The sequence below is a fragment of the Homo sapiens genome, chromosome 10 (assembly GCF_000001405.40).
Source record: "Homo sapiens chromosome 10, GRCh38.p14 Primary Assembly".
NCBI lineage: Eukaryota > Metazoa > Chordata > Mammalia > Primates > Hominidae > Homo > Homo sapiens.
Genome location: NC_000010.11, coordinates 106,676,795 through 106,702,147, shown reverse-complemented (window position 1 = coordinate 106,702,147; position 25,353 = coordinate 106,676,795). Strand labels below are relative to the sequence as shown.

At 39.7% G+C, this 25,353-nt stretch overlaps 1 protein-coding gene across 17 annotated transcripts in view; it reads left to right on the top strand.

Annotated features, from left to right (window-relative positions):
- Positions 1 to 25,353, top strand: part of SORCS1 (sortilin related VPS10 domain containing receptor 1) — a 607,476-nt gene that overhangs the window by 478,991 nt on the left and 103,132 nt on the right. For 16 of the 17 annotated variants that reach the window (XM_017015617.1, XM_047424547.1, XM_017015615.3 and 13 more), the window contains exons 9-13: positions 2,755 to 2,934; positions 13,810 to 13,956; positions 22,414 to 22,516; positions 22,816 to 22,892; positions 24,744 to 24,835. In XM_017015617.1, coding sequence (XP_016871106.1) covers positions 2,755 to 2,934; positions 13,810 to 13,956; positions 22,414 to 22,516; positions 22,816 to 22,892; positions 24,744 to 24,835 — 599 coding nt within the window. Of the gene's footprint in view, positions 1 to 2,754; positions 2,935 to 13,809; positions 13,957 to 22,413; positions 22,517 to 22,815; positions 22,893 to 24,743; positions 24,836 to 25,353 lie in introns of those variants that run through there. The other variant, XM_017015618.1, reaches the window with a different exon arrangement.

The window sequence follows — 25,353 nt, the reverse complement described above, 5'->3', positions numbered from 1 at the left end:
AGACAAGTCTCTCCATTAGAAAGAAACCAAACACTTGGGTATAGCTTCTCCTGGTTCAAAGAATTTTAAATTTTATTTTAAACAATAACAACAAAAACACTTGGGTGAACCACTTTCTTATCGTGTATATAGTTAGGACTTGAGTATTTGCGATAAACAGAAAGGTCACATGAACCTAGATTAATCAACAAAAGGGATGTAAGGGCTCACTTAACTGAGAGTAGCTAACATACCTAGAGCATATGCTAAGTGCCAGGCACTATTAGGAGTGCTTAACACTGATTAACTGATTTCATCCTCACCACTCCATGGGGGACCTATTATCCTTGTCTCTATTTTGTAGATTGAAATTATGAGACACAGAGTTTCATTCACATGGCTAAGTTATAGAGCCAAGATTTGAACTCAACTAGTTTTACTCCAAAGTCCATTCTTCAGCCACTTTACTAGACTGTCTTCTTTAACTGAAAAGTCTGGCGGTGGGATGAGCTTCTTAAATGTCCACATTTAGGGACCAAAAAAATGTCACAGGATTGGGCCATCTCTCTCCATCCGCTGAGCCTGTTTTCATCAGGATTGGTTTCATCCTTTACCTCCAAGATATATCTCCAGCAGATCTGGAGTTTTCTTTTTTATTCTTACTGCTTAAAAACCAATAGTGAGATACTAATTTTGTCTCTCCCTAATAACTCCGCAGTCATTCCAGAAACATGTCATATTGACCTTATGTGGGCCACCTGCCCATCACCTATTCAGTTGCTGTTGCCAGAGAAATGGAATATTCTGAAAGCCGGTTCTAAAAGCTCATTTCTTGTGCTGCTGGTAGAAGAAAGTAGGAAAAAGTTTAGATTTAATATAGAAATATATCTGAGAGGGATGAGGCTGTTTTTCAAAAAACATCAATCCATACACTTGGACCTGTGTCTCCTCAGGTTCTGCATCAGATTGAAAATATTAAAAAAAATACAAAGTAATACAAATTAAATAAATGATACAACTATTTACATAGCCTTTACATTGTATTAGGTATTGTAAGTAATCCAGAGATGATCTGAAGTGTACAGGAGGATGTGCATAGGTTACATGCAAATATTACACCACTTTATATAAGGAACTTGAGCTTCTGTGGATTTTGGTATCTGAGGGCAATTGTGGAACCAATCCCCCTGCAGATACCTAGAGAGAGCAATAATTACCAGGAGAAATGTAAATAGACATTCAACAGATAGAAGCACACATTAAATTAATGGGCAGGATTCATTTTTTGACCTATCCACTTGGGGTTCTTTCTACAAAAATGTTACCAAACTTGAGTATGTCATATGGAACCTGAGTAGAGGTGAGGAATATAAAGCCCTTTGGATATGGACTTCTCCCTCTGGGATCACGAGTTTACTGTGATAAACGGTAAAGAGGATAGGGAGTCTTGTTCCTACACGTCTAGAGGAGAGTCAGAGCTGAAATGCTGCTTGATTGAGAACATGGGCATATATGACAATAAGAAATTTAGGTTAGTAGTTAGGTGGAATTTCCCCGCACTGGAATTGTTAACAGGAAGATTGTCAGATTTCCTAAAGCTTTTCAAAAATAGAGTATGGTGCATCTGGAAAGATTAGAGCACTAAGTGATGCCGAAAACAAGAATTGTTCTACGTTGTTCTTCTACCTTTGTGGTTATATGCAATCTTTGTTTTCGTTTGTTTGTTTTGGTTACTTAGCTTTAATTTTTTTGGTTTTTGGAAGTTGTTTTATGACTACTATCTTGGGCAAAGGGTAAAATGCAGGCTAGAGCATATGAACAGACATCCCATAAAGAAGAAAGCAGGCCTTGGTCTGAGTCAGCAAGCTTTGGACTGTGGTAGCTTCCATTGTACTTCTCTAGAGTTATGAATGGGGGAAAAAGAATTTGAAATTCCCACCCCAGGGGCACTTGTTACTGCCTCCGCGCTACCTTTGCTTTAATTCTATCTTCCAGGACAAACAGGCTCTGAAAACATCATCAGTTATGCAGGCTATCTTTTACCCTTTTTCACTGGAGGATTCCTGCAGAACCTCTCAGTTTAGATTTTGATAAGCAGCTAAGTCTTTGAACACACTAACATGAGGGTTAGTACTTTGGGTTTCTCTGGTGAATGTTTTCTTAGGGCTGAGGGTAGAGGAGACTGGCTAGGGGTTGCTGAACCTTTGGGCAGTGCTTTTCAAACTTTAATATGCATGGTAATTATTTAGCAATCTTATTAAATGCACATTTTGATTCACCAGGTGAGGCCCAAGGTTCTATATGTTTAATAAGCTTCCAGGTGATGTCCTTGCTGCTGGTCCATGAGCCATGCTGAGACATGCAGGGTTTGTCTATTTTCTCTCTGTTCCTCCAGCTTTTCCTCATATCTACCCCATATATGCCTTCTGAGCAAGTATCATATTTGTGCTTGGCAAAAATATCAGGATGCTTGATTCTCCGAATCATACATATTTAAGAAAGCATTTTTCGAATTATGTAATGAGGCAATTAAAACTGGTCTATCAAACATCCCTTCATCCTATTTTCTCATGACCTTATTGCCTAACCCCACAAGTGACAAAGGAAATATATGATTAATGCTTAACTATTATTTCTTATATATGCAAAAGGAAGCTATCTTCCATTAAAGTGCTCATTCTGGTATTCCTCATTTGATTCCACACTCTTTGGATGCCTGCCAGGTTAATGTATAAAACTCTTTTTCCCTCTTCACGACCTTGTGTCTTTTCACAGGACATGCATGTTATCAGCACCGATGAGAATCAGGTGTTCGCAGCGGTCCAAGAATGGAACCAGAATGACACGTACAACCTCTACATCTCAGACACACGTGGTGTCTACTTCACCCTGGCCTTGGAGAATGTCCAGAGCAGCAGAGGCCCTGAGGGCAACATCATGATCGACCTCTATGAGGTATGTCACGAGGCATATGTGGTCCTAAGCCACAGCAGTGCCCAGCTGGCTGATGGAAGCCCCGCATGGACTCTTTTCCTGGTCATTTTAATACAGTTCCTTATGTGGCCTCATTTCTCTTGGGAGATGGAAAGATTTGCAGAACATTTTTATTAGTTAATTTGCAATCCACAGAAGATCTCTGGGGGATTCTGGGAGGGATTCTTTTTTGACAAACTCCATAGGACATGAAGGCTTTGTGGACTTGCGGAATGTCTGGGGAGGCAGTCAATTACAGGGTTTGATGAGAGTGGTCTGCTTGTGATGTTTGGACATAGTTCTGAAAGGCAGACAGGGCTGTGAGTAAAGGGATGGTGGATGCACTCCCTTGTCTCTCAGAAGAAAGAATGAAGGGGATAAGGTCTCCTGCATCCAGCAGAAGACACTCCATTTGGACTTGAAGACCTTTCTGGTTAAATAAGCTCCCTTGGCTAATGGCCTTTTTCTCACAGGGCCAGAGAATGAGATAAGATTAACAGGTGCTTGTCTCCTAAATCCAGAAAAATAAAATAAACAACTACAACATCAAGAACAGAGCTTAGCAGAGTCTTTATTTCTCAAAATGGCCAAGATTCAAAAGAAAATCATGTATGTTGGATTGGTTGGCTTTCATGATAAATACCAATGCTTTAATTGCCATTGAAGGCACAGTTAGCTAGAAAGAAAACTGCTGCTTTGGCATGGATTTTAGCCATTCGTTACTCTTATCATGCGCTATGAAAGATTTATAATAGGTTATAATAAGCCATTTGAAAACAGTCAGAATTTGGGAAGTGTAACAATATACCTATATTCTAGCTGAAAAAAATCTAAAATGGATTCAGATATGTACAGTCATAATGACACTGTCATTTAGTTGAGAACAAGAGCAGTGAGTCAAGAGATTGTTTGTCTAAGAAGTAAGGGTATATCCAGTATGAAAGAAACTAATTTCACTTAAGAAATTTTAACCTATCATTGTAATTCCTTTCAATGATGTGTTCTATCTTCCTTCTCGTTCAGAGGTTCTTAGTGATTTTCTTCTAGTATCTAAACTTCTGTGTATGTATAAAAGCATGTTAGTAAACTGTATGCCAAATTTAGAGCCCAGGTATTTGTAATAGAAATTATGGCAGACTAGCATAGGGTCTAGTTTATGTGTATATGTTTAGAAAAATGCATTGCAAACTTTTTCATACTTTCATAAGTTTTTCCACTTCTTCTCCTGCCCATGTTTCAGATAAATACAATATCATGTATGACAGCCTCAGACTGTATTCTAGAAGAAATTTACATATTGTGATGATTTAGTTTCATCTTCATGTTGAATAAAATTTAATTTAGAGTACAGATTTTGGATTTAGGTTGCTTGTGCTTAAATCCTAGCGATGCCACTTGTATGTATTCTTGAGACAAATCCAGTAATTTCTGAGCCACAGTTTCGTTGCTTAAAATATGGAGATAAACATGAAACCTACTAGATGTGATTTTTCTGAGGATTAAATGAGTTAATCCTTTCAAAGCACGGAGCACAGGGCTTTAATATTATTTTCCAATGTGTTCAAGCACCACTACAGTGTTCTTCTACTCTCATAGCCTTAACATCTCCCTGCATTGTGTAAATGCCCAAAACATTTATATTATTTTGGATTCCTACATCTTCCCATACTGAAATTAGTGCAGCCACGTGACATTCTTTATACCAAGTAGTTGTCTTTTATTTATTTATTTATTTATTTTGAGATGGAGTCTCACTCTGTCACCCAGGCTGGAGTGCAGTGGCGTGATCTTGGTTCACTGCAATCTCCGCCTCCTGGGTTGAAGCTATTCTCCTTCCTCAGCCTCCCGAGTAGCTGGGACTCCCACTACCATGCCCGGCTAATTTCTGTATTTTTAGTAGAGACGGAGTTTCACCATATTGGCCAGGCTGATCTCGAACTCCTGACCTTGTGATCTGCCCGCCTCGGCCTCCCAAAGTGCTGGGATTATGGCCTATACCAAGTAGCTGTCTTCTTATAAATAAGTGTAAATTGCAACATTTCTCTTTTCATTTGTAAATAGATTATAAACATTTTAACTTGAAGTATGTTTTGTTGAAATGCCATGCATTTTCTTGCCTTGACTGAACACTTGAAATGGAAGGATTCTTGCTCTGAGCATCCACTGGCATGAAGTCAAAGCAACTGCCCAAGCTTAATCCCCAGTTTTCTTTCCTAGCCCTCGTTCTATCCTTAGTCTCCCAAAAACATATTCTGACTTTCAGGTTCCATTTTCCCCTTCCTGATTATCCTCTTCCCTCTTTTTGTGTCAACATGGAATTGATTCTCTGGATAAATTTTGTTTACTGCCAGAAATAAAAACCATTTTAATTGGTCCCTTGATGATGAAAAAATGACAAATTTAGACAGGAATGACTTTGCAATGTCTTGTTGTTTGCAGCTATTTTCATGACTAGTTTTCTGAATTCAAACATCGGTAACAGGTATGAAATGAAAAGAGGAAACAAGGCGACCTCTGGACATGCCAAACATTGCTTTGTTAATCTTGTGTTTCCCCTTTGTGCCTCTCTTGCAGTTGACTATCTGTAGGGAAACTGCTGGCTCTTATTATCATCATTTTGAGCAGTGATGTGACTGTATTATGTAAAGGTGCTCTGCATCCTGGGGCTGGGAGAGAGGAGTCTTTGTTTTATTAGCCTGACAGTTCACAGCAACTTGAATTGAAATTGATGTGATCAGAACGGCAGTGCCGTATCTGCTGATTACCTAGATAGAAAGAATATTGGCTGACACAGAGCCTGGCACAAATGTTCCCTTAAATCTGATTGTTCTGGCTAGCAGGAAGCTGAAAGCCATCCAGCATGAATTTCCCAGTAGAATTGCAATGAATGATGAGAGTTTAGAGATAAATGAGAAGTAAGAAAATCCATAAATGAATTACTAAGGAGCAAAGATGAGCAACACATGAGGTGGGGGTTACAGAGATAGCATACATGGAGTGCATGTCTGCTCACATTTGGGGTGACTGAAGAGGATGGCCTTTGTTCTTTGTTTGCTTCTTCATGCCAATTATGTGCTATTCCTGCCTTTGTGAGCTCTTCAGGCTATTTTAGCAGAGGTGAACTGTATAATGTATAAACATGTAGATGGATCTGTGTATCAAGGATGTGCATTGCTGACGGGTCTTTCTAAAAAATGCAGAAGGAAGCACTGTGCTCATTAAAATTAAGCATTTTGTTTGCAAATACATTGGAACCTGGCTACAGATTCTGTGTTCTCTACCCTAGAACTATGTGTGTGTGTGGAATGAGAGAGAGAAATGCTGGAGACAAAGTGTTGAGGGTACAGCTTGTATGGTTTAGTTATTGAAATATCAGAATTTTCCATCAGTGTCAATTGGACTCCATTCAAGAGAGCCAAGAAATGAGAGCCAGGAAAGTTGGCCACAGAGCAAAAATACTAGAAATGAATTTTGTTATCATTAATATCATTAATTGATATCATTAATAATGGCTAATATTTTGGGCCACTTTATGCCAGGCATGGTGTAAAGAACCTTCCATAACTCTCCCATTCAGTACATACATTATGAGGTAGGGACTGTTGTCACTTTCACTTCAAATATAAGTAAATGGAGGCAGAGGGAATACAGCAACTTTTGCAAGACCGCAAAGATGGTAAGTGGCAGAGTTAGGACCTAAACCCTAGAGTGTGCAAACTCTCAACTATAGACTGTCACATTTTTCCTGAAGGATCAGCATCTGGGCTTGTATTTGGTTGTGGAAGAGTGACAGCATTAAGACTGAAGAACGTAGAAGGGCAGGGTAAATAGGGTTAGACTTTGCATACCAGTGAAAACAGAAGACTGGAAGAAGAAAATGATCTGGGGAAAAGTCAATGTAAAGAGAATCAGAAGTTTGATTGCCCGAGACCTATCTATGCAGCACCTTTAGTACCAAGTCCTTAGTTACAGCTAAGTTCAGGCTATATTTACACATGGCTCACAGTCTTGTCGGGTGGATGTATTTGTGTAAGAAAAGCCTGGAAACAAGTGTCCTAAAACTCCATCACACCTGAATAGAATGAATGGTCCGGTGCATCGTGTGCATCATGCAGTGCATCAGGCTGCATGTCTGATGGTGGCCAGAGCAAAAAAAAAATGTGCTGAGTGTCTGTGAGAAGAGTGATGCCTGATGGTTTTGTGTAGTGTGGATGATGAGAGGGAGCCTGACAGGTTTGGATGGTACCTTCTCTCCTTTGGGAAGTGAATATTAATTAATGATGATGAAGAGCACTTTGGCTTAATAGACAATGACAGTTCACCCCAGCTGAGTGCAAAGGGTTGTGTTGGGAGTGAAGCCACCTGGCTGACAAATTCAGAATACACAAGAATGTGTGCATACATGAGTGAGCCCTGGTGGGTGTCATGAAGGACAGCCAGTGACCAGGGCATGTTCTGTTACACACAGTGTCTTCTGTACGTTATGAGTACCCTCTCTTTAAAAGAGAAAACTCAACGGTTATGATAATATAGCATACATCTTGATTTTTTGGAGCAAGACTGCCTCTTACAATCTAGTTTAGGAGGTAGGGAAGAAAAATGCTGTCCTATTGAAGATACATTTATTACAGGATATTGAATGTACTATTGGCCAGGTGCAGTGGCTCATGCTTGTAATCCCAGCACTTTAGGAGGCAGAGGCAGAAGAATCACCAGAGGGTAAGTGTTTATGACCAGCCTGGCCAACATGGCGAAACCATCTCTACTAAAAATACAGAAATTAGCTGGGTGTGGTGAAGTCCCAGCTACTTGGGAGGCTGAGGCAGGAGAATCACTTGCACCCATGAGGTGGAGGTTGCAGTGAGCCGAGATGGTGCCAGCCTGGGCGACAGAGCAAGACTCCTCCTCAAAAAAGGAAAAATAATAATAATAAAAGAATGTACTATTATTTCAGGCTACTGTCTCTAGAGGAGGAGAGTGCTGTTTGAGGAGGAGAGTGCTCTTTGGTTGAGGCAACAGAGAAGGAAAGAACATTTAGGTTTTTCTTGGCCAGTGGGTTCCCTGATTGTGAAGGCACCCCGGCCTCATGTTTATCCTTCCTGTTGTCCTCTCGAGAAAAATATCCCATCCACAAAGCCCAAAGAAATTGTGGCCATGAATATGTTCTCTTTCTTGCCACAGTCGTTGTTTCATCTTTTTAATTTTTTTTTGAAATTTTGGCACTTAGGATTTGTAATTTAAGTCTGAGACTGAGAGGGTGGTAGGTAGTATTCATCTTTTAGTCAGCATTAAAGGCAGAAATAAGCAAAAACTCTTGCACAGGAGTCTTCCCAACTTAGCCTCTGCATGGAACTTACAAAAGGTTTTCTTACACAAATATGTAAGTTCCTTTGAATTGATTTATAATAAAGAGCATAAGAAGTACTAGAGATATTTATGGGAAGACTGATTCCCATAAGAACAGGACAGAACCATCCAGAAAGTAAACCTAAAAAGCAAGGGAGATACCTGTGTTTTTTTCTTTAAGTCACCAAAGAAATAGGAATTCTCAGCACCTAGCACATTCTAACTCTCAAAAAAGATAGTTGTTGAGATCTTCTACATATTATATCTGCCAAGTGCCTAGAAGATCATATGATACGTAGTAGATGCTCAGAAAATATTTATTGAATGGCTAGAGTAAATGTACTAACGACTGAATAAAATACAATTTCTTTGAGTAGAACATTCTGATACGATATTTCTCTCAGGCCACTCTAGGATGAGAGAGAAGTTCGAAGAGACAGTACAGCCACAGGCCTAAGGGTGTAGACTCTGTAGTTAGACAGACTGACTTGGAGTCCAGATCTAAGATTCTCCAATGGGATGACCTTAGGCAAGTGATTAGCCACATCTGAATTTCAGTTTTCTCTTCTGTAAAATAAGGATAATATGAATTCTAAAGCATGCAAAGATTCACAAGTTCATGTTTGCAAAGCCTTTCATGTACAGGTTGAGTATACCTTATCTGAAATGCTTGGGACCAGTAGGGTTTCAGATTTTAGACATTTTTGGATTTTGCAATATTTGCATATATATAATGAGATATATTGGAACTGGGACCCAAGTGTACACACAGGGTTAATTTATGTTTCATATATACCTTATCACATAGCCTGAAGGTAATTTTAAACAATATGTTTAATAATTTTGTGCATTAAACAGTTTTTTTGTATTCTAGAAATTTATTTTTTATTTTTTATTGGTACATAATAGGCACACATTTTCAGGGTATATATAATAATTTAATACATTTATATAATTAGTAAATAACATATTAGTATACTTGAGATTATTCATCACCTTAAATATTTTTCTTTTCTTTAGAGTTTTGATTGTGTTTTGACTGTGACCCATCACATATGATTAGGTGTAGAATGTTACACTTATAGCATCATGTCAGTGCTTAAAACATTCCAAGTTTTGGAGCATTTTGGATTTCTGGATTAGGGATGTTCAACCTCTGGTACCTGAAATTTAATAATCAATAAATTTGGATTGTTATATCTTTCCTTTAAAACAGCTTTATTAAGATGTAAGTCACATATCATACAGTTTGCCCACTTAAAATGTAAAATCCAGTGGTTTCTAGTGTGTTCACAGAGCTGCACAGCCACCACCACAATTTTAGGTCATTTTCATTGTCCAGTACAGAAGCTCCACAACCATTAGTAGTCATTCCCCATTTCTCCTCCTCGCATCTTCTCCCCAGTCGTGGTTACCAGAGGCTTGGGTGTTGTACCTTCTAATGCAGAACTCTTACTACCTATTTCAGTAGGAAAAAAAACAGGGGCTGGCGCTGTGGCTCACACCTGGAATCCCAGCACTTTGGGAGGCCAAGGCAGGTGGCTTGCTTGAGCCCAGGAGTTTGAGACCAGCCTGGGCAATGTGACAAAACCCTGTCTCTACCAAAAACAAAACAAAACAAACAAACAAAAGAACCCAAAATTAGCTGGGCATAGTGGTGTGCAACTGTAGTCTCAGCTACTTGGAAGGCTGAGGTGGGAGGATCGCTTGAGCCCAGGAGGTCGTGGCTGCAGTGAGCTGTGGTCACACCACTGCTCTCCAGCTTAGGTGCCAGAGAGAGAGAGACCCTGTTTCAAACAAACAAACAAACAGGGTTCTTTGTATAAAGTTACTTTACTGTTATTAATTTTAAAGAGCAGGTTGGTGGAGTGAATGACAATCCGAAGGTTGTATTAGAGTAGGAGACCATAATGTGAGAGGTCACACAGGGGATGACCAAATTGGAATTAATTTATGATAAAGAGCATAAGGAGTACTAGAGATGTTTACAGGAATATTGAGTCCCCTAGGAAGATCCCACAGTTCTTGACAGTCAAGATACAGATACCATCTGTATGAGAGACAAATTAAAGAACAGAGAAGTGTTGGGATAATCAGGATGAAAAGAGATCCTGGTTTTTGGAAAAGGTTTATGAGCTGAATCTTTAAGGATGAATAGGTAGAGGCACATCAGGAGGCTTTCTCAGGGAGTTGGGGGTGGCCTTTGTGAACAAAGAGAGTCAGATAAGAGAAGGGAAGGAAGTGTTCTGAGACCATCACGTTGGCAACAGGAAATGCACCGATGTACTTTGTGTTAGGCTTAAGGTTTGAGCTATAACACTTCATATTTAGTCTAATTAAAATGATATCTTGACTTATATGATATTAAATAATAAGAAATAACTATTAATTACTTTTGAGATGTCTGGTAGCAAATTTCTCTGTAGGAGAAGCAAAGGGACTAAAGTAGCATTCCAGCACACTTAGAATTCTTAAAGATCTTTATGCAGAATTCAGAAGGGCATTAAAGGCAACAATTCTTTTCCCAAAGGAGGACAGACTTCCAACAGTGGGATGTACCATTCCCATGGGAGGTTTGTCATCAGAAATTCTGTGTCTATGGGAAGACATGGCTTCCGTAGGAAATATTACTTTACCCCACCCTACCCCATCCCTTAGCTCCACTCTATTCCATAAATATGCATGCAGTATGGATACAGAGAGGTTATCTAGAAACATAAACATGCTCCCTCATCCTCAGTGGAACCTCAGACCTTACACTCACACAAAGAGAGACATATACTACATGCATAGACAGGTACACCCATGTACACCCACACACATTCCACATTTGGGGCACTAATGCTTGGTATTAGTCCCCTTGATAGCCAAAGTCCTACAGTGAGAGGGTAGAGGTTCCAAGAAACGTAGGATGAGACCTTAGAATAGAGTACTGGAAGAAGGTGGCTTGTGCGTGCCTAGGGGTTTCCGTGAGACACACAGAAAGACGGATTTCTCAAGCTCAGAGTGAAAGGAACAGTGAATAGCACAAAAACCTAAGACTAGGGCTGACTACATTTGCAGACCAGGCCAAAGCAACAAAAGAAAACAACAAAATAAAAAACCCTACCTTAAATGGACAAAGTGCCTTGGCTGCAAGAGGAAAATAAGCAATAAGCAGACCCTCTCCAGCTCTATCCCCTGTCGATACACATTCCCTTTACTTTGCCAAGTTTTTATTCCTCAAGATAAACCTGAAGGCCAAGCTGCCAGAGATGAATTACAAAGCACAGCTCTTTGCTCAAGTGGCATTTGATAATGCCAAGCAGTCGGGGGCCAATAAAGTCGCCACTTCTGCGAATCAAATGAACCAGCTCCCAAACATGTATAACCCTGCGCTGGCACCCTTGCCAGAAGAGGGAGAGGGCAGGAAGGAAAATGGGCAATGAAACTACTGGAATAGGTAACATTTTTATTCCTTCTGCAGTTATTGTCACCCTTTAGAGTGTTGAATGGCTAAGACATGGTCATTTGTCATTTCTGGGAATGGTATAGAGGAAGGACCAGTATGACTTTGTGAAATTCTGATTTACGTAATTTAATTTTTTAAAGAACTGGCAGTTTATTCATATTTGAGTATGTAACAGCTTCTTGAACATATACAAAACCAATATGGAATTCCCTGGTGGGAAGCCCTTGCGGAGCTGGTGTAGTAAATTACTAAATATTATTTGTAATTAACACACTGCTGTTGTGAGGTAGAGTGCTCCTGGAGTTTATGCCTTCCACATTTGTTGAGTTTAGACAATGCACAAGAAGTTGGTCTGGCTGCTACTGATTGCACAGAATGCACCTTGTTTCCTGAGTATGATAGTTCAAAGTATTCCTCTCTGCAGCTCATTTATACCATTTAGTTGTTTAACATGCTTGTTGTTTCAAAAGAGTACAAATTTGGCCCAACTATAAATTATCCCAGATGCCAGATCAGCAGGTACACACTAATGAGGTCTGACTGTCAAAAGCAAAGGCAAAATGTGTGTCTTCTATCGATTGAAACCCAACCTCTTAGAATTGACAAATTCAAGCTGTATTTGTTGAAACAATCTTGGAAGTCAGGCAGATTTGGGTGTGAATCTCAACTTTCTGTGATCTCAGTTTCTTTATCTGTAGAATTGGGGTAAAAGCTGCAGGTGCAGGTTTGTAGTGAGTATTGGAGGTTTTGTAAATAAAATGCTGGACATAGTGCTTGGCGTTTGGCGAGGTCTGGAGAGGTGACAGCTAATTGCTTCACTATTCTGCTTAAAAATTTTTCGTGTTATAAAGGGCCCAAGTTAAGTAGGTTCAAATAGGCTTGCTAGCCTGCTCACTTACTCCCTAGGTGTGTTCCAGAAAGCCACCAAGTCAAAGTATCTATTTCCTCATCCTCAAAATGTGGCTAATGATAATTATTCCATGGTTATTCTGAGTATTAAATGAGGTAATGTACATGCAGCATTGGAATGCATTACTCAACATGTTTCAGTCCTTTTCCTCACTGCCCTCCAGTTTTCCTGAGCTGTTACAGTTGCAAGCAGGGTAAAATATGCATGAATGTGTTTGATAAACTCCAAAACACAAGAAAAATGTAATGCACAATTATTTGCTTTTGTAATAGTTTGACAAATTACTAATTACTACTTCTTACCTAACATATAGAAGGGAGGAGACAATCATATTTTCAGAGCCAAATAATTAATAGCATCTGTTTAGGCTGAGAACAACCATGTTATAAAAACAAAGTAGGGAGTATTTGATGATTTAGGGAAATCACCATTTATTTAAATTTAAAAGCTGTCCTCTTATGTTCCGTGTATTCTGGTGGCTTAACAGAGAGATCTTACATAGAAATAAAGCAACAGTAATTGGTTCAGGAGCTTTAACTGCCTCTTTCAACTGCCCAAGCCTGCAGATAGCTTGATAATTGAGGTAGGCATTAAGAGCATGAGCTGTGAAGCCGCAGAGTTGTGGGTTAATAATCCTGAGTCTGATACTTACTGTGTGCCCTTGGGCAGTGTGACCTTAGGCAAGTCACTTTGTTTGGATGAGCCTGAGCTTTCTTCATCTGTGAAATAGAATAAACGATACCAAAGAGGAGTGTTTTAAGGATTAAGTGAGATCTGGGTGCTACACTAGCATACAATAGAAGTAGCCCCTATTTATTTATTATTACTTACCAAGCAACAGAGCTGAAACCATGAGAATTTATCTCTTGGCAACTGCGGGCTCCTGTCAGCCTATGTTAGGGGTAATAAGAAACCCCTATCAAACTCCTGTTGTGACCCCCATATGATAAGGATCACCAATCTGTTGTTGTTTGTCCAGTAGCCTAGGAAGTCATTATACCTTGAGCCACCTCCTTCCCCCATCGTCAACCTTTCTTTCCTCCAAGGCAAGTGCTCTCAGCTGACTTTGACAGCCTTCTTTTTTTAAAAAGTAAACAAATATATCCCTTCTCAAATTGATGTATTTTTCAGCCATGTCAATTTTTCCCAGGTAGCAGGGATAAAGGGAATGTTCTTGGCTAACAAGAAGATTGACAACCAAGTGAAGACTTTCATCACATATAACAAAGGCAGAGACTGGCGTTTGCTGCAGGCGCCGGACACGGATCTAAGGGGGGACCCCGTGCACTGCTTGCTGGTGAGTCTTCCTATTGAAGCAGAATGCCTCACACAGTAGAGGGATGGAAATGGATATTTAACAGAGGGTGAGGATAGTTCTGGGACTTTTGCTCAGTTGATGAACAAAAGGGAGTGGGGAAGGGCGTGAAGGCAAAGGGTGTAGAAAACTCACAGCACTGCCTAGTGTGATGTGCCAAAGAGATGGGAGAACATGGGCATATTTCTTGTGCCCTTCCAGGATCCTTGTTTCCCGCCCAAGTTCTGATGAGGGCCTCAAATGGTAGTTTGAGGGAGAATATGACAGTTTCTATCCCTGGTGAGGATACACACTGAACAACCTATTTTCTCATGAGTAACCTGTTGCAGAACTAATGATACATAAATTCAGCTGTAGAGTTGATGAACTGAATGCAGAGTCGTGTAGGTGTATTTTCTTGTGGAGATGTTTAATCATATTTTCAGAGGAGTTTATGACTCAAAAAAGGTAAGAACCACTGATTTATACCCTTATTGGTATTCTTTACAATATATTCTGTTCATTTATGTCTTACTCCGTAAAACTGAAGTTGGCAAACTATAGCCTGTGGGAAAAATATGGCCCACCACTTGTTTTTCTAAATAGGGTTTTATTGGAACACAGTCATGCTTATTCATTCATGTATTGTTGACGGCTGCTTTCACTCTACAAAGGCAGAATTGAGTAGTCACGAGAGAGACTTTGTTTGGTGAACAAAGGCCAAGGTATTTATTATCTGTATCACAAAAAAAGCCTGATATTTATTATCTGGCCCTTTACAAAGGTTTGCTGACCCCTACTTTAAAGTATGGCTTTCTTTTAGTTGCCTTACATTTGGGCAGTATATAGATTAGTATGAATTTATTTATATATTTGATATATGATGGCATCCAAAAGGAGGATCAAAGATGAATCTTGCTTTCAAGGAGTTTGCAGTCTACTTGTCTACTTGAATGTGTCTAGATTAATAAATGGAAGATTGCAGGGTCACGTCTTATTCCTCTTAGTAGCTCTGATGCCTGCCCCAATTTTGACACACAGATAAGTAATGAGTGAATGCAGAAGGAGGCGAGGAAGAGGCAAATTGCAAATTGCAAACATTATTAATACTATCAATGTCTGTAAAACACTTCAGAAGTTGTGTCTACATTTAGAAAAAGGACAGCTGATTGTGTAAGCCTAGAGGGAGGACCACTTCATTTGAGTAAGAAGGGCTTGTAGGGGAGGGGGTTGTGTGTGTATGAACTACACATATATAGTTGTTCACACTCTTCATGCGGTTCTGACTTTGATGTTATCCGCACTCAGCTTGCTTCCTTCCATCCCATAAAGTCTGGACAGTCACTTTGCAGGTTCATCTCTTACAGCTGTAGGCGGGTCACCCTTCTAGTTGAGAAGATGCCAGCAGCCATAGCTTGACCTTATTAGTTGCAGAGGATATCACAGTTGTCACTGTGCATCAGGGAAGCAGTCTAAAATTCAGCCTCCCACTCAGCTTCTATCCTTATTACTGGCAACTTAAGAGGAGGAAAAAGCCAGTTGTTATAGTAAGTGCACAATGCCAGTGACAGAGTAAGTAAATGTAGCAGCTATTTATTGAATACCTACTCTACGCAAGGCACAGTTTGGTGGCATTTTAAAAAACAGGGCCACCTTCCTAGTTCAGCTATAGCAAGTTGGAGCGTAGTGCTGCTTAACCAAAGATGCATGGGATATGCCAGTTCCTTAAGCTGGTCTCTACTCTGCACTTTGGAGATTAAATGCCTATGAGAGATAATTAACCATGTCACCTAAATGGGCTTGCCTGGGGACTCTGGCATCATAAATGAACCATTAAAAATGGCTTTTAAGCACTTAGCAAGGTATTCCCTGCTTCACCCCCAACGCAGTGTCAGAAACTCTTATTGTTGTACTTCCAAAATATAAATGTAATATCAGCTTACTTCCCCATCACCACTGGGACTGCCCTAATCCAAGCCAGCATTGTTGCTCACCTGATCCACAGTGGCAGGCTTCTAACTGGTCCTCCCACTTTTACTTGGCAATCACTTCTCTAGACAGCAGCCAATGGGACCATTTTTTTTAAAAAATCAACTTTATTTTGAGGTAAAATATACTTACATACCGATTTTAAGAGTATAGTTCAATGAATTTTGACAGATGTATATACCGATATAACCATTGCTACAATCAAGACAACATTTCCATTGCCCTGAAAAATACCTTTGTGCCTCTTTGCAGTTAGAACCCACACTCTCAGCCCAGCACAACCAATGATCCACTTTATTTTACTATATATCAGATTGCTGTTTTTTAAAATTGTGTGTAAATGTTATCAACTTGAACTTTTGAAAAATCAGATCGTATCCCTTCTTTCCTTAAACCTTCTAATGGCTTCTAATACATGTAGAATAAATAAAAATACTTTATCATGACCGATGAGGCCCCATGTGATCTGGCCCCTGTGTAGTTCTCCTCCCTGGTCTCCAGCCTCTCCCTCCTCCCCTTCTTCCTTATATGTAAGCCAGAGTGGAGGAGGGGGTGTTTCTTTGCATACTGTGAACTCACCATGTTCATGTATCTCTTAGGGTCTTTGCATTTGTTATAATTTCTCTTAAAATGCCCTTCTCTTTGTCTGGCTTGTTCTTGGCCTTCAGATCATTGCTTCATTATCTTAATTTTAGAGAACTTTCTTGAGCATCCCCTAAAGTTGTATTTGTCTTAACTCTTTTTTTCTTCATGGTCCTTATTGTTATCTGAAATGAGCAGGTGTACTACTTAATTTTCTTGTCCATCTTGCCTGCTGAAGTGTGGGCTTCATGAACCTAGGGACGGTGCCTGTGTTTTTGACCACTCCAAAGAATCAACTCCAGGAATCATACCTGCCATGTGGTAGGGGCTCAACCCATGTGGTAGGGGCTCAACATTAGGGGTGCCACGTTGGGAGTGTGCACTCCATCGAAAGGTGTTGTGACAGTTTCGCGTTTGGATTTTAATGGAAGCTGTTCATTCCCTCTGAGAGTCCACTGGAGGATTTGTCACATTTTCTACCTTCTGAAGCTCGTGGGCTCAAGTGGAACCCAAAGTTAACAAAAGCAGGAAGCTCATTAAGATGGAAGAAAGAGGGATTATTGGGACACAGATGTATGGAACTCGGGAGTTTTCCAGCCTTCCTTCTTAGTTAACCCTGTTGTTTAATGTAGTTTCAACCTGAGCTTCAGAAAGCAGGCTGCAGGTGAGAAGGGGAAAATGACAAAGGGAAGCAGGGAGGAGAGACCAAAATCACTTTACAAAAATCTGCCAAAGGCACTAAATAGGAAAGAAAATCTTTGAGCTACAGGAGACGAAGACTGTTAAAAACCTTCTTTAGGCTTGGGAGCTGGTGGCAGAGATGAGATAAAAAGTGATTTCGATTGTGAGTACTTGGAAAGTGACAGTGTCACTGAAAGCACAGCCTAGTGATTAGAAAAGAGATTTTTTCAGCAGGGCTGTTACAGATGTGGAATAAGTTCAGAATTGCAGCCCGAATGCAGTGTTCCTGGTAAAAATCTATGCTATAGAAATAAAACATCTAGGGTAATTTGGGCTATATTTTTAGGACTTTTAGACTGATTGCCTGGAGGGCCCAGCTGGGATTTCTTTCCTCTGAAGACTGCATTGTACAATTAGATAGAATATTACAGGTCATGGTCCACCTGCGTCCAATGCCTCAGGATTGGGCTCCCAAGGGGCAAGATGTGAGCTGAACTGAGCCTGTGACAAATCCTTGGGCCCTTAGGGAAAGCACAGTGTTTAATGGAAAGAGGCGCTGACTTTGTGGATTCATCTGGCAGTTTTCTTTTCTTTTCTGTTTTTTTGAGACTGAGTCTCACTTTGTCACCCAGGCTGGAGTGCAGTGGTGCGATCTCGGCTCACTGCAACCTCTGCCTCCTGGATTCAAGTGATTCTCCTGCCTTGGCCTCCCGAGTAGATGGGATTACAGGTGTGTGCCACTATGCCCAGCTAATTTTTGTATTTTTAGTAGAGACAGGGTTTCACCATGTTGGTTGGCCAGGATGGTCTTGATCTCTTGACCTCATGATCCACCTACCTTGGCTTCCCAAAGTGCTGGGATTACAGGCATGAGCCACCGTGCCCGGCCTATCTGGCAGTTTGCTACTGGAGCTGAGCAGACAGCTGCCCCAGGAGAATCTGTTTTTCACCTTTCTTCCATTGGAGAATCTGTTTTTCACCTTTCTTCCATTGTCTGTGACTCTATATATTTTGCTGATTTGGGCTGGAGCTGAATTCCCCATACCCAGCCAGTTGTTCCAGGGGCCTCCTTCCTCTTTGCCGTTGACTCTTTATTGAAGATGTAATAAATTTGAGTTCCAACTCAAAGAAAGAAATTATACAAATGAGTATGTATTTCGGGAGGGAGAGTGTTGGGGATACTATTTGGGAGCTTGTTCTTTACAAAAGCTCTGATCTGTCCTTTCAGTACAATATTCAGATTAGATACCATGGAGATAAAGGTACCATGAAGATAGCATCTAAAGGCAGTTGATACAGAGGCTGAGGAGAAAGAATTGGGATTTGAAGCTGGTTGACCCTTAAGTAATATAACAGCTTTTAAAGTTGATTTATTACATGGTGGGGAAATGTCTTCCATTTTATGGTAATTCCCCAGTGGGATCCACAATGCTAGAAACACAGTAGATAATTAATGGATCAGCTGGAGAACATTATGCTAAGTGAAATAAGCCAGGTACAAAAAGACCAAGTCTGCATTTCTGTCTTCTATGTGGAACCTAAAACAATCAAACTCATGGAAGCAGAGACAGAATGGTAGTCACTGGAGGCTAGAAGTTGGGGGAAATAGGGAGATATTGGTCAAAGGGTACAATGTTTCAGTTAGACAAGAGGAATAAATGATAAATATTTGAAGTAAACAATAATAATGGATCAGTTAAATTCAGCAGACATTTATTGAACACTTGGAATAGCCAAAGTATTTTATTGGTTAAAAGAATCAGGCAAAGAAAGGTAACTAGTAACTAGAGGTCCACTTATGGGTTTCGGGGTTTGCAGACTCCCTGAAATTAAGTGAAAAACTCTGTATGGTTGTGTCTGTGCACTTTTTCTTGGTCTTTCATTTGCATCAGATCCCCAAACTTTGTACCTGACCCAGAAAAGATTACAGACTAACAGTCTAGTTGCTCCTAGAATTTACCAATTGATGATATGCCATGGCCTGTGACTATGTGTGAGGATGCAAAGGGCAGCTTCCAAGCATGTGTGCTGGTCATTCTGTCCTCTGTAGGTCAGCTGCTGGCATTGGTGGTTTGGGTGTACATTTCTACATTTTCTTAATGTGGAAAGGTCAGGAAAATAGAGAACTGCCTTTGGAACAGGCTGTGCTTTGACTCTATTGACTTGGAGATAACTATTGTGACTATTAGCATATGTAGGTACTCAGCACATATTTGCTAATGAGAGAAAAGAAGGCAGAAGACAAGAGAAATGAAGAGAGGGGCCTATGATGTGCCCCCAGCCTGGGCAAAATGTGCATAAGGACTGGAGAGCTTTGTCCTGTGTCCTTCAGAAACTTGGAGGGGTTTGATAAGCATTATAATAAAATATACTAATATAAACTATATTAATTATTTATGACTTAACTTGGACAAATGTCCAAAACTGGTCAGTACAACAGCTTAAGTTAAAAAAGTGAAGATGAATCACTTCACACTGTTTTTTCCTTAAATATTTGTGTAGACTATGTTACTTCCTTGAAGAAAATGAAAGAAAAAAGCCACAGAATATTTTCCTTATACCAGCTGGGGGCAATCCAGTACTACAAATGTGAGAGTGGAGAAAAAAGTACACCAAAAGATCATTTCTAATGTTGCTGTTACTGAGTGAACTGGTGTCTTTTTTCCTCAGATTAATGTATCCCAGCCCTCTGAAAGCCATAGCAACAGAGGCATGCTGAGGTAGCCAATGGAAAAATGACATCTTTTCTTTGTTCTTGTTTTTTGTTTTGTTTGTTTGTTTGTTTTTTGTTTGTTTTTGTTTTGGTTTTGTATTAGAGATGGAGTCTCACTCTGTCACCCAGGGTGGAGTGCAGTGGTGTGATCTTGGCTAACTGCAACCTCCACCTCCCGGGTTTGAGTGATTCTCCTGCCTCAGCCTCCCGAGTAGCTGGGACTACAGGTGCCCACCACCATGCCTGGCTAATTTTTGTATTTTTAGTAGAGACAGGGTTTCACCATGTTGGCCAGGTTGGTCTCGAACTCCTGACCTCAAGTGATCCACCCACCTTGGCCTCCCGAAGTGCTGGGATTACAGGCGTGAGCCACCATGCCCGGCCTGACATCTTTCTTTTGTAATGGCAACTGCCCCTTACCAAATAATCCTTAGGTCAGGTGGCAAATAACTCAAAATCTTCCAGCAGTGGCAAGCAACTGGCTTAAGATTGAAAGTTGGGTGCTCTCCTGGCTAGGGATGTCCTCCTCTGTTTGGTGGTGCAGAAAGTCCTCTGTTAAGCTCATATGTCTAGGGATAATCCGCAAGCAGTAGTCTACTTCTTGGAATGCCATACAGATGCTCACAACATTATTCAGATTATGTGGTTGATAATCCAGCCCACATACTCCTGGCATTGCTCTGAGTAAAATAGTAAAGTGATATCTTTCATGTCCCAACAAAAAAGCATTACTTGATATTGCAAGCTTCTATTTATTATCTTGTTTAGATTCTATGCTAGGTTTCACAAAAGATGCGAAACAGTACTTAATCAGTTATCTTTATTTATAGAGTGTATTCTTAGAGAGATATAATTGTATGTACCTGAAATAGATAATACAAGATTGTGCATAGTGAAACAAATTGTTGTGGATTAGAGGAGAGGAGAGCCTGATAGGCTGCAGTTATCGGGAAGACTTTCATGGAAAACTGGTTTTGCACTCCTGGTTTACCCTGTCTTACATCATCTGAGTGTTGTACTATGCTGTTCTGGAACATCCACAGCATTTAATTATATCTGTTCTAGTCTTCCTCTTGGACAAATAAAAGCCAAGAGTCTAGGCCTGATATTTCTTCTAATAGGGGCTGTCTTCTTTAGTCCTATAGAACATTATAAAGTCAAAACTCCTTTTTTTGAAAGCTTTACATGAAATTTTTATGCAAAACCAATCATTTGTTACTATTAGTGCACCTTGAGAGTTTTACTTTGTTGGCAGTAAAGAAAATATCCCATTGTGATCTGCTGTTTTATTTCACCAGCGTTCTGGCTGTTTTTATTCCTGAGTTTCATTTTCACTTTGTCATTTACTCCATCCTATATAAATTTAATCATTGTATCTGTAGGTGTCTGAATGTCTGCTGGCTGAAACTTACAGAGCAGAATAAAAGTAATAACAGAGATACACTGGTGATTCCAGAAACTCAAGTTGATAAGATTAGAAAGTAATCTTCCTGAGATATGAAAAGAAATGTGGGCTCAAACACAAACTTATATTTTTTGACAACTCAGTACAAGAACTATTTTAAACAAAATTCATATAAGATTTATTATCCTTTTTTCTTGAAAACTGTTGATATTTCAATCAGATAATTTGAATGAGGTTTCTGCACAAACAAGTCCCTTACATTTTCAGTTAAATTTTTACTACTAGTGCATTTTGTCTACAAGTGTGACTTTTATATTGAATATTTCTGATTCTGATAATATCCTGGTAGAGATACTGGGTCAGTTGTCTGGCGGGTATTTGGATAATTTCACATACTTTTTCTATACAACTGAGACCAAGGTCTCAAATGGAGAATGACTAAGAGATGCCAACCTACTTTTTCAAAATCCTCCCAGCTTGACTTGACCTTCTCTCCTGGCTTCATATCCCATTTCTCCTCTTCAGTCTTTTCTGATGACATACTGTGCTGCTCAGCTTTTCTGCTTCTTTTTCTTTGTTATTGCTGTTACTCAGGCTTGAAATATTCTTTAACGTCTTGAACATCTACCTACTGTTCATAGCCTATCCATCTTTGCTTCAGGCACTGTTTTCTTTTTGGAGTCATTCATGATTCAAAGTTCAGCATAGTCTCTCCACCTTCTAGAATCTCATACTATTTTGTCTCTTCATTTTTTATGGCTGTTAAAAGATTCTCTTTTTATGGTAATTAATGGAAGGATCTCATGCCCTCTATATAAATTGTAAGCTCTGTAATGACAAAGACCAAATTAGATTATACCTAAAATGAAGGTGGTCTTTACTAACTTGAAGGCTGTTTTACACTTAGTGGACACTAGATATTTGGGGGATGGAAGATGTTGGGTAGGTATAGATACAATGGGTGGTTGGAGTGGTGCATGGATGTATGGTAAATGGGATGGTTGGTTAGATGGATGGATGATCTGATTCTGAGCTTCAAATGACCATTTTGATTATGTGATTTTGTGGCACTTATTATTTCTCTTTTCAGCCCTATTGCTCACTACACCTTCACCTGAAGGTCTCTGAGAATCCCTACACATCAGGGATCATTGCCAGCAAAGACACAGCTCCAAGCATCATAGTGGCATCAGGTAAGAAGCTTACCTGGTTTGCTGGCTGTGGTAAATAGTGTTTATTTTAAGAAGCTAGATATCTGTACTTGGAAGTTTATTTTAAGAAGCTAGATATCTGTACTTGGAACTTAATGAGCAAGCTAAAAATAATTTTGAAAGGCACCTAAACCATTGGACCTGAAGCAAGTCTGCAGAAAACCCCTGCACAGACAGAATGCTTGCAGTCAAAATCTTTCTCAGGCAGTGCACCTGCCAATATAGTCCATTGTTGCTTTTGCAGAAAGTTCTTTTCACTAATGGCACCTTTCTCTTTCTAGGTAATATAGGTTCTGAATTGTCAGACACTGACATCAGCATGTTTGTCTCTTCAGATGCAGGGAACACCTGGAGACAGGTAAGAAAATACCCTGGGTCAAATCGCTGAAGTTTAAGTAACATAAAAATTGCCCAGCTTGGTTCAAATCTGGGAACTTTTTTCAGCGGTGCTACACATAAATCCTAATGACTGTGAATATGTTTATTTTTCCTTTTTATATAAAAGTCTTAAATGTTGGAGTGTAGCAAATATTTATGGAATTTGATTTTTTATCATTTAATAAAGATGTTCCTTACTCAGAGCTTGTATGTAAGGGTGTTTATAAGTCACAATGAAACCAAATTAAGTCTGACTAAATTTTTCCCACAGATGAAAACCAGAATTCCTAAGGGTTTATCATATAGGGAATATGCAGCCTTAAGGGTAGATTACATATCTAATGCTGAGTTGGCTCCATAAATTCCCCTTGCCTTGAAGTCAGAATAGGAAGGAATGCAGATATAGAAATGGCCATTACCCAGGTGGTGTTCTGAGATGTTTAAATCTCATGTGCAAAAGACAGAGTAATAACCATCAGGATGCATATGTTAGAGAAAGTAGAAATGGAATACTTTAAACCAGTGTGTTTAGCTTAAGTGCTTCCTGCCTTTCTTCTGAATGAAAATTAGATACCCATAGCTTACAAAACAGGCATTTAATGAGGTTTAGCAATCTTAACAAGATATGCACCTAATGCTTGGTTGTTATACTTCAATCAATATGTTTTAATAACCTACTGACGTTTAATTATCATACAATAACTAGCACTGTAAATTGAAATCTAATGCACAGGTAATCACACTTAGTGATGAGAGCACTCTCCTTTAAATTTTAGTCAGAGGTGTCCACATTATATTCCAAATGCCATTTCTTAGCTTCAGACCCTCTATAGATCCTCAGTGGGATTCTGATATTTTGAGCGGAGGAGGAAGGGAAGAAATTTGCATAAGAAACTCCATAGCAATTGATCTTGGAGGTATGTAGAAACCTGGACTATTCTAAGTAAACTTCCTCTGGAGAATAGAGAGCCAGGATCCCATTTTCTTCTTTCCAACACCGCAAGCAAGGCAAAGAAGTCTTTACTTCTATAGTCTTGGGTTGCATCTTGGGTATAAGAAATAAACAAATTGGAAGAAGATTGTCTGTAATGTAACTCCAGGCAAGGCTACACTAATAATCTGACGAGAAAACAGCATGCATCTTATACAGAAAGGATCTAGAGATTGTTTCCATTGTGTCTCCATTTGACTTCAAATTTCTTTCTCTACATTTGGAGAAAGACCAAATGACACATGTACCCAAAGATGACAACAGAACTCACCATGATTTTGGTGGAACATCTATTAATTAAACAAGAACAGTTTTCTTTGATAACAGTTGGAAACTTCAAAATAATAAGATCTGGAAAGGGCACTGTAATGCAGCAAGTCCAAGCTCTATCCATTACTGTATGCATGATCTCAGGCAAGTTACCACATCTCTCTAAACCTTAGATTTCTTATTTATGAAAATGAGACTATTGGAGTAAATGATTTCTAAGGTTCCCTCTGTCTAGAGATGTATAATATATGACAGTTAACCAATATTCTGACATCATCATAACTGGGAATCAATAGAAATTATCATGAAAATGAAGGAATCTAAGCATGAACCCATAAATATTCATTGTTCAAATTTATTTTATACACACCTAAAATTATTTTGTACAACACCAATGGTATAATAGCCCATGTTGGGAAGAACTGTTCTATAGCTTTATTTTCGCAAAGATTTAGGGAAACCTATTTTTATCATGGGAAGGATTTTTGTTCTCATGTGAAGACTGATTCTCTGAAGCCTGGGTATGTGTGGATGTGGATGTGTGTCCATGTATGTGTTTTCCTCATCCAGATCTTTGAAGAAGAGCACAGTGTTTTGTACCTGGATCAAGGTGGAGTCCTGGTTGCTATGAAACACACATCTCTCCCAATTCGACATCTTTGGTAAGGGCACATGCTGCCTGTGAAATCTGCACCTGATGGTCCTGAACTGCTAAGATCAGTCTAGGAGTCAGGCTATCAAACCGTGTCTGTTTCTGTAGTAAATCTGTTACCAAAATGCCGAGGTTTGGTTCAGGTCCTGTTACTCTCCACACAAAAAGCCAATCCACTGAGACAACAAATATTGCCAGTGAAGAAAGCTTTAAGTGGGTGCTGCAGCCAAGGATATGGGCAATCAGTCCCAAGTCCATCTCTCTGATGACTAAAAGTAGGGGTTTATATAGAGGGAAGAAATGTAACCAGGTGTAAGGAAACAGGAATTAGGGAAGGGTAAAGAAGAGGAGGTGAGGAAGAGGAAGTGGTCAACAGGAAGCAAGTTGTCAATTAGGCAATCATGATGGGTAAGTAGTCTGGCTTCTCATTGTCCAGATGTCTTTATCTGGTAAGTTTCAGCTCCTTGATACTACCTGGGAGGCCTGATGGTTGGTTTCCTGAGAGAAGAACTCAGATAAGACAAATGT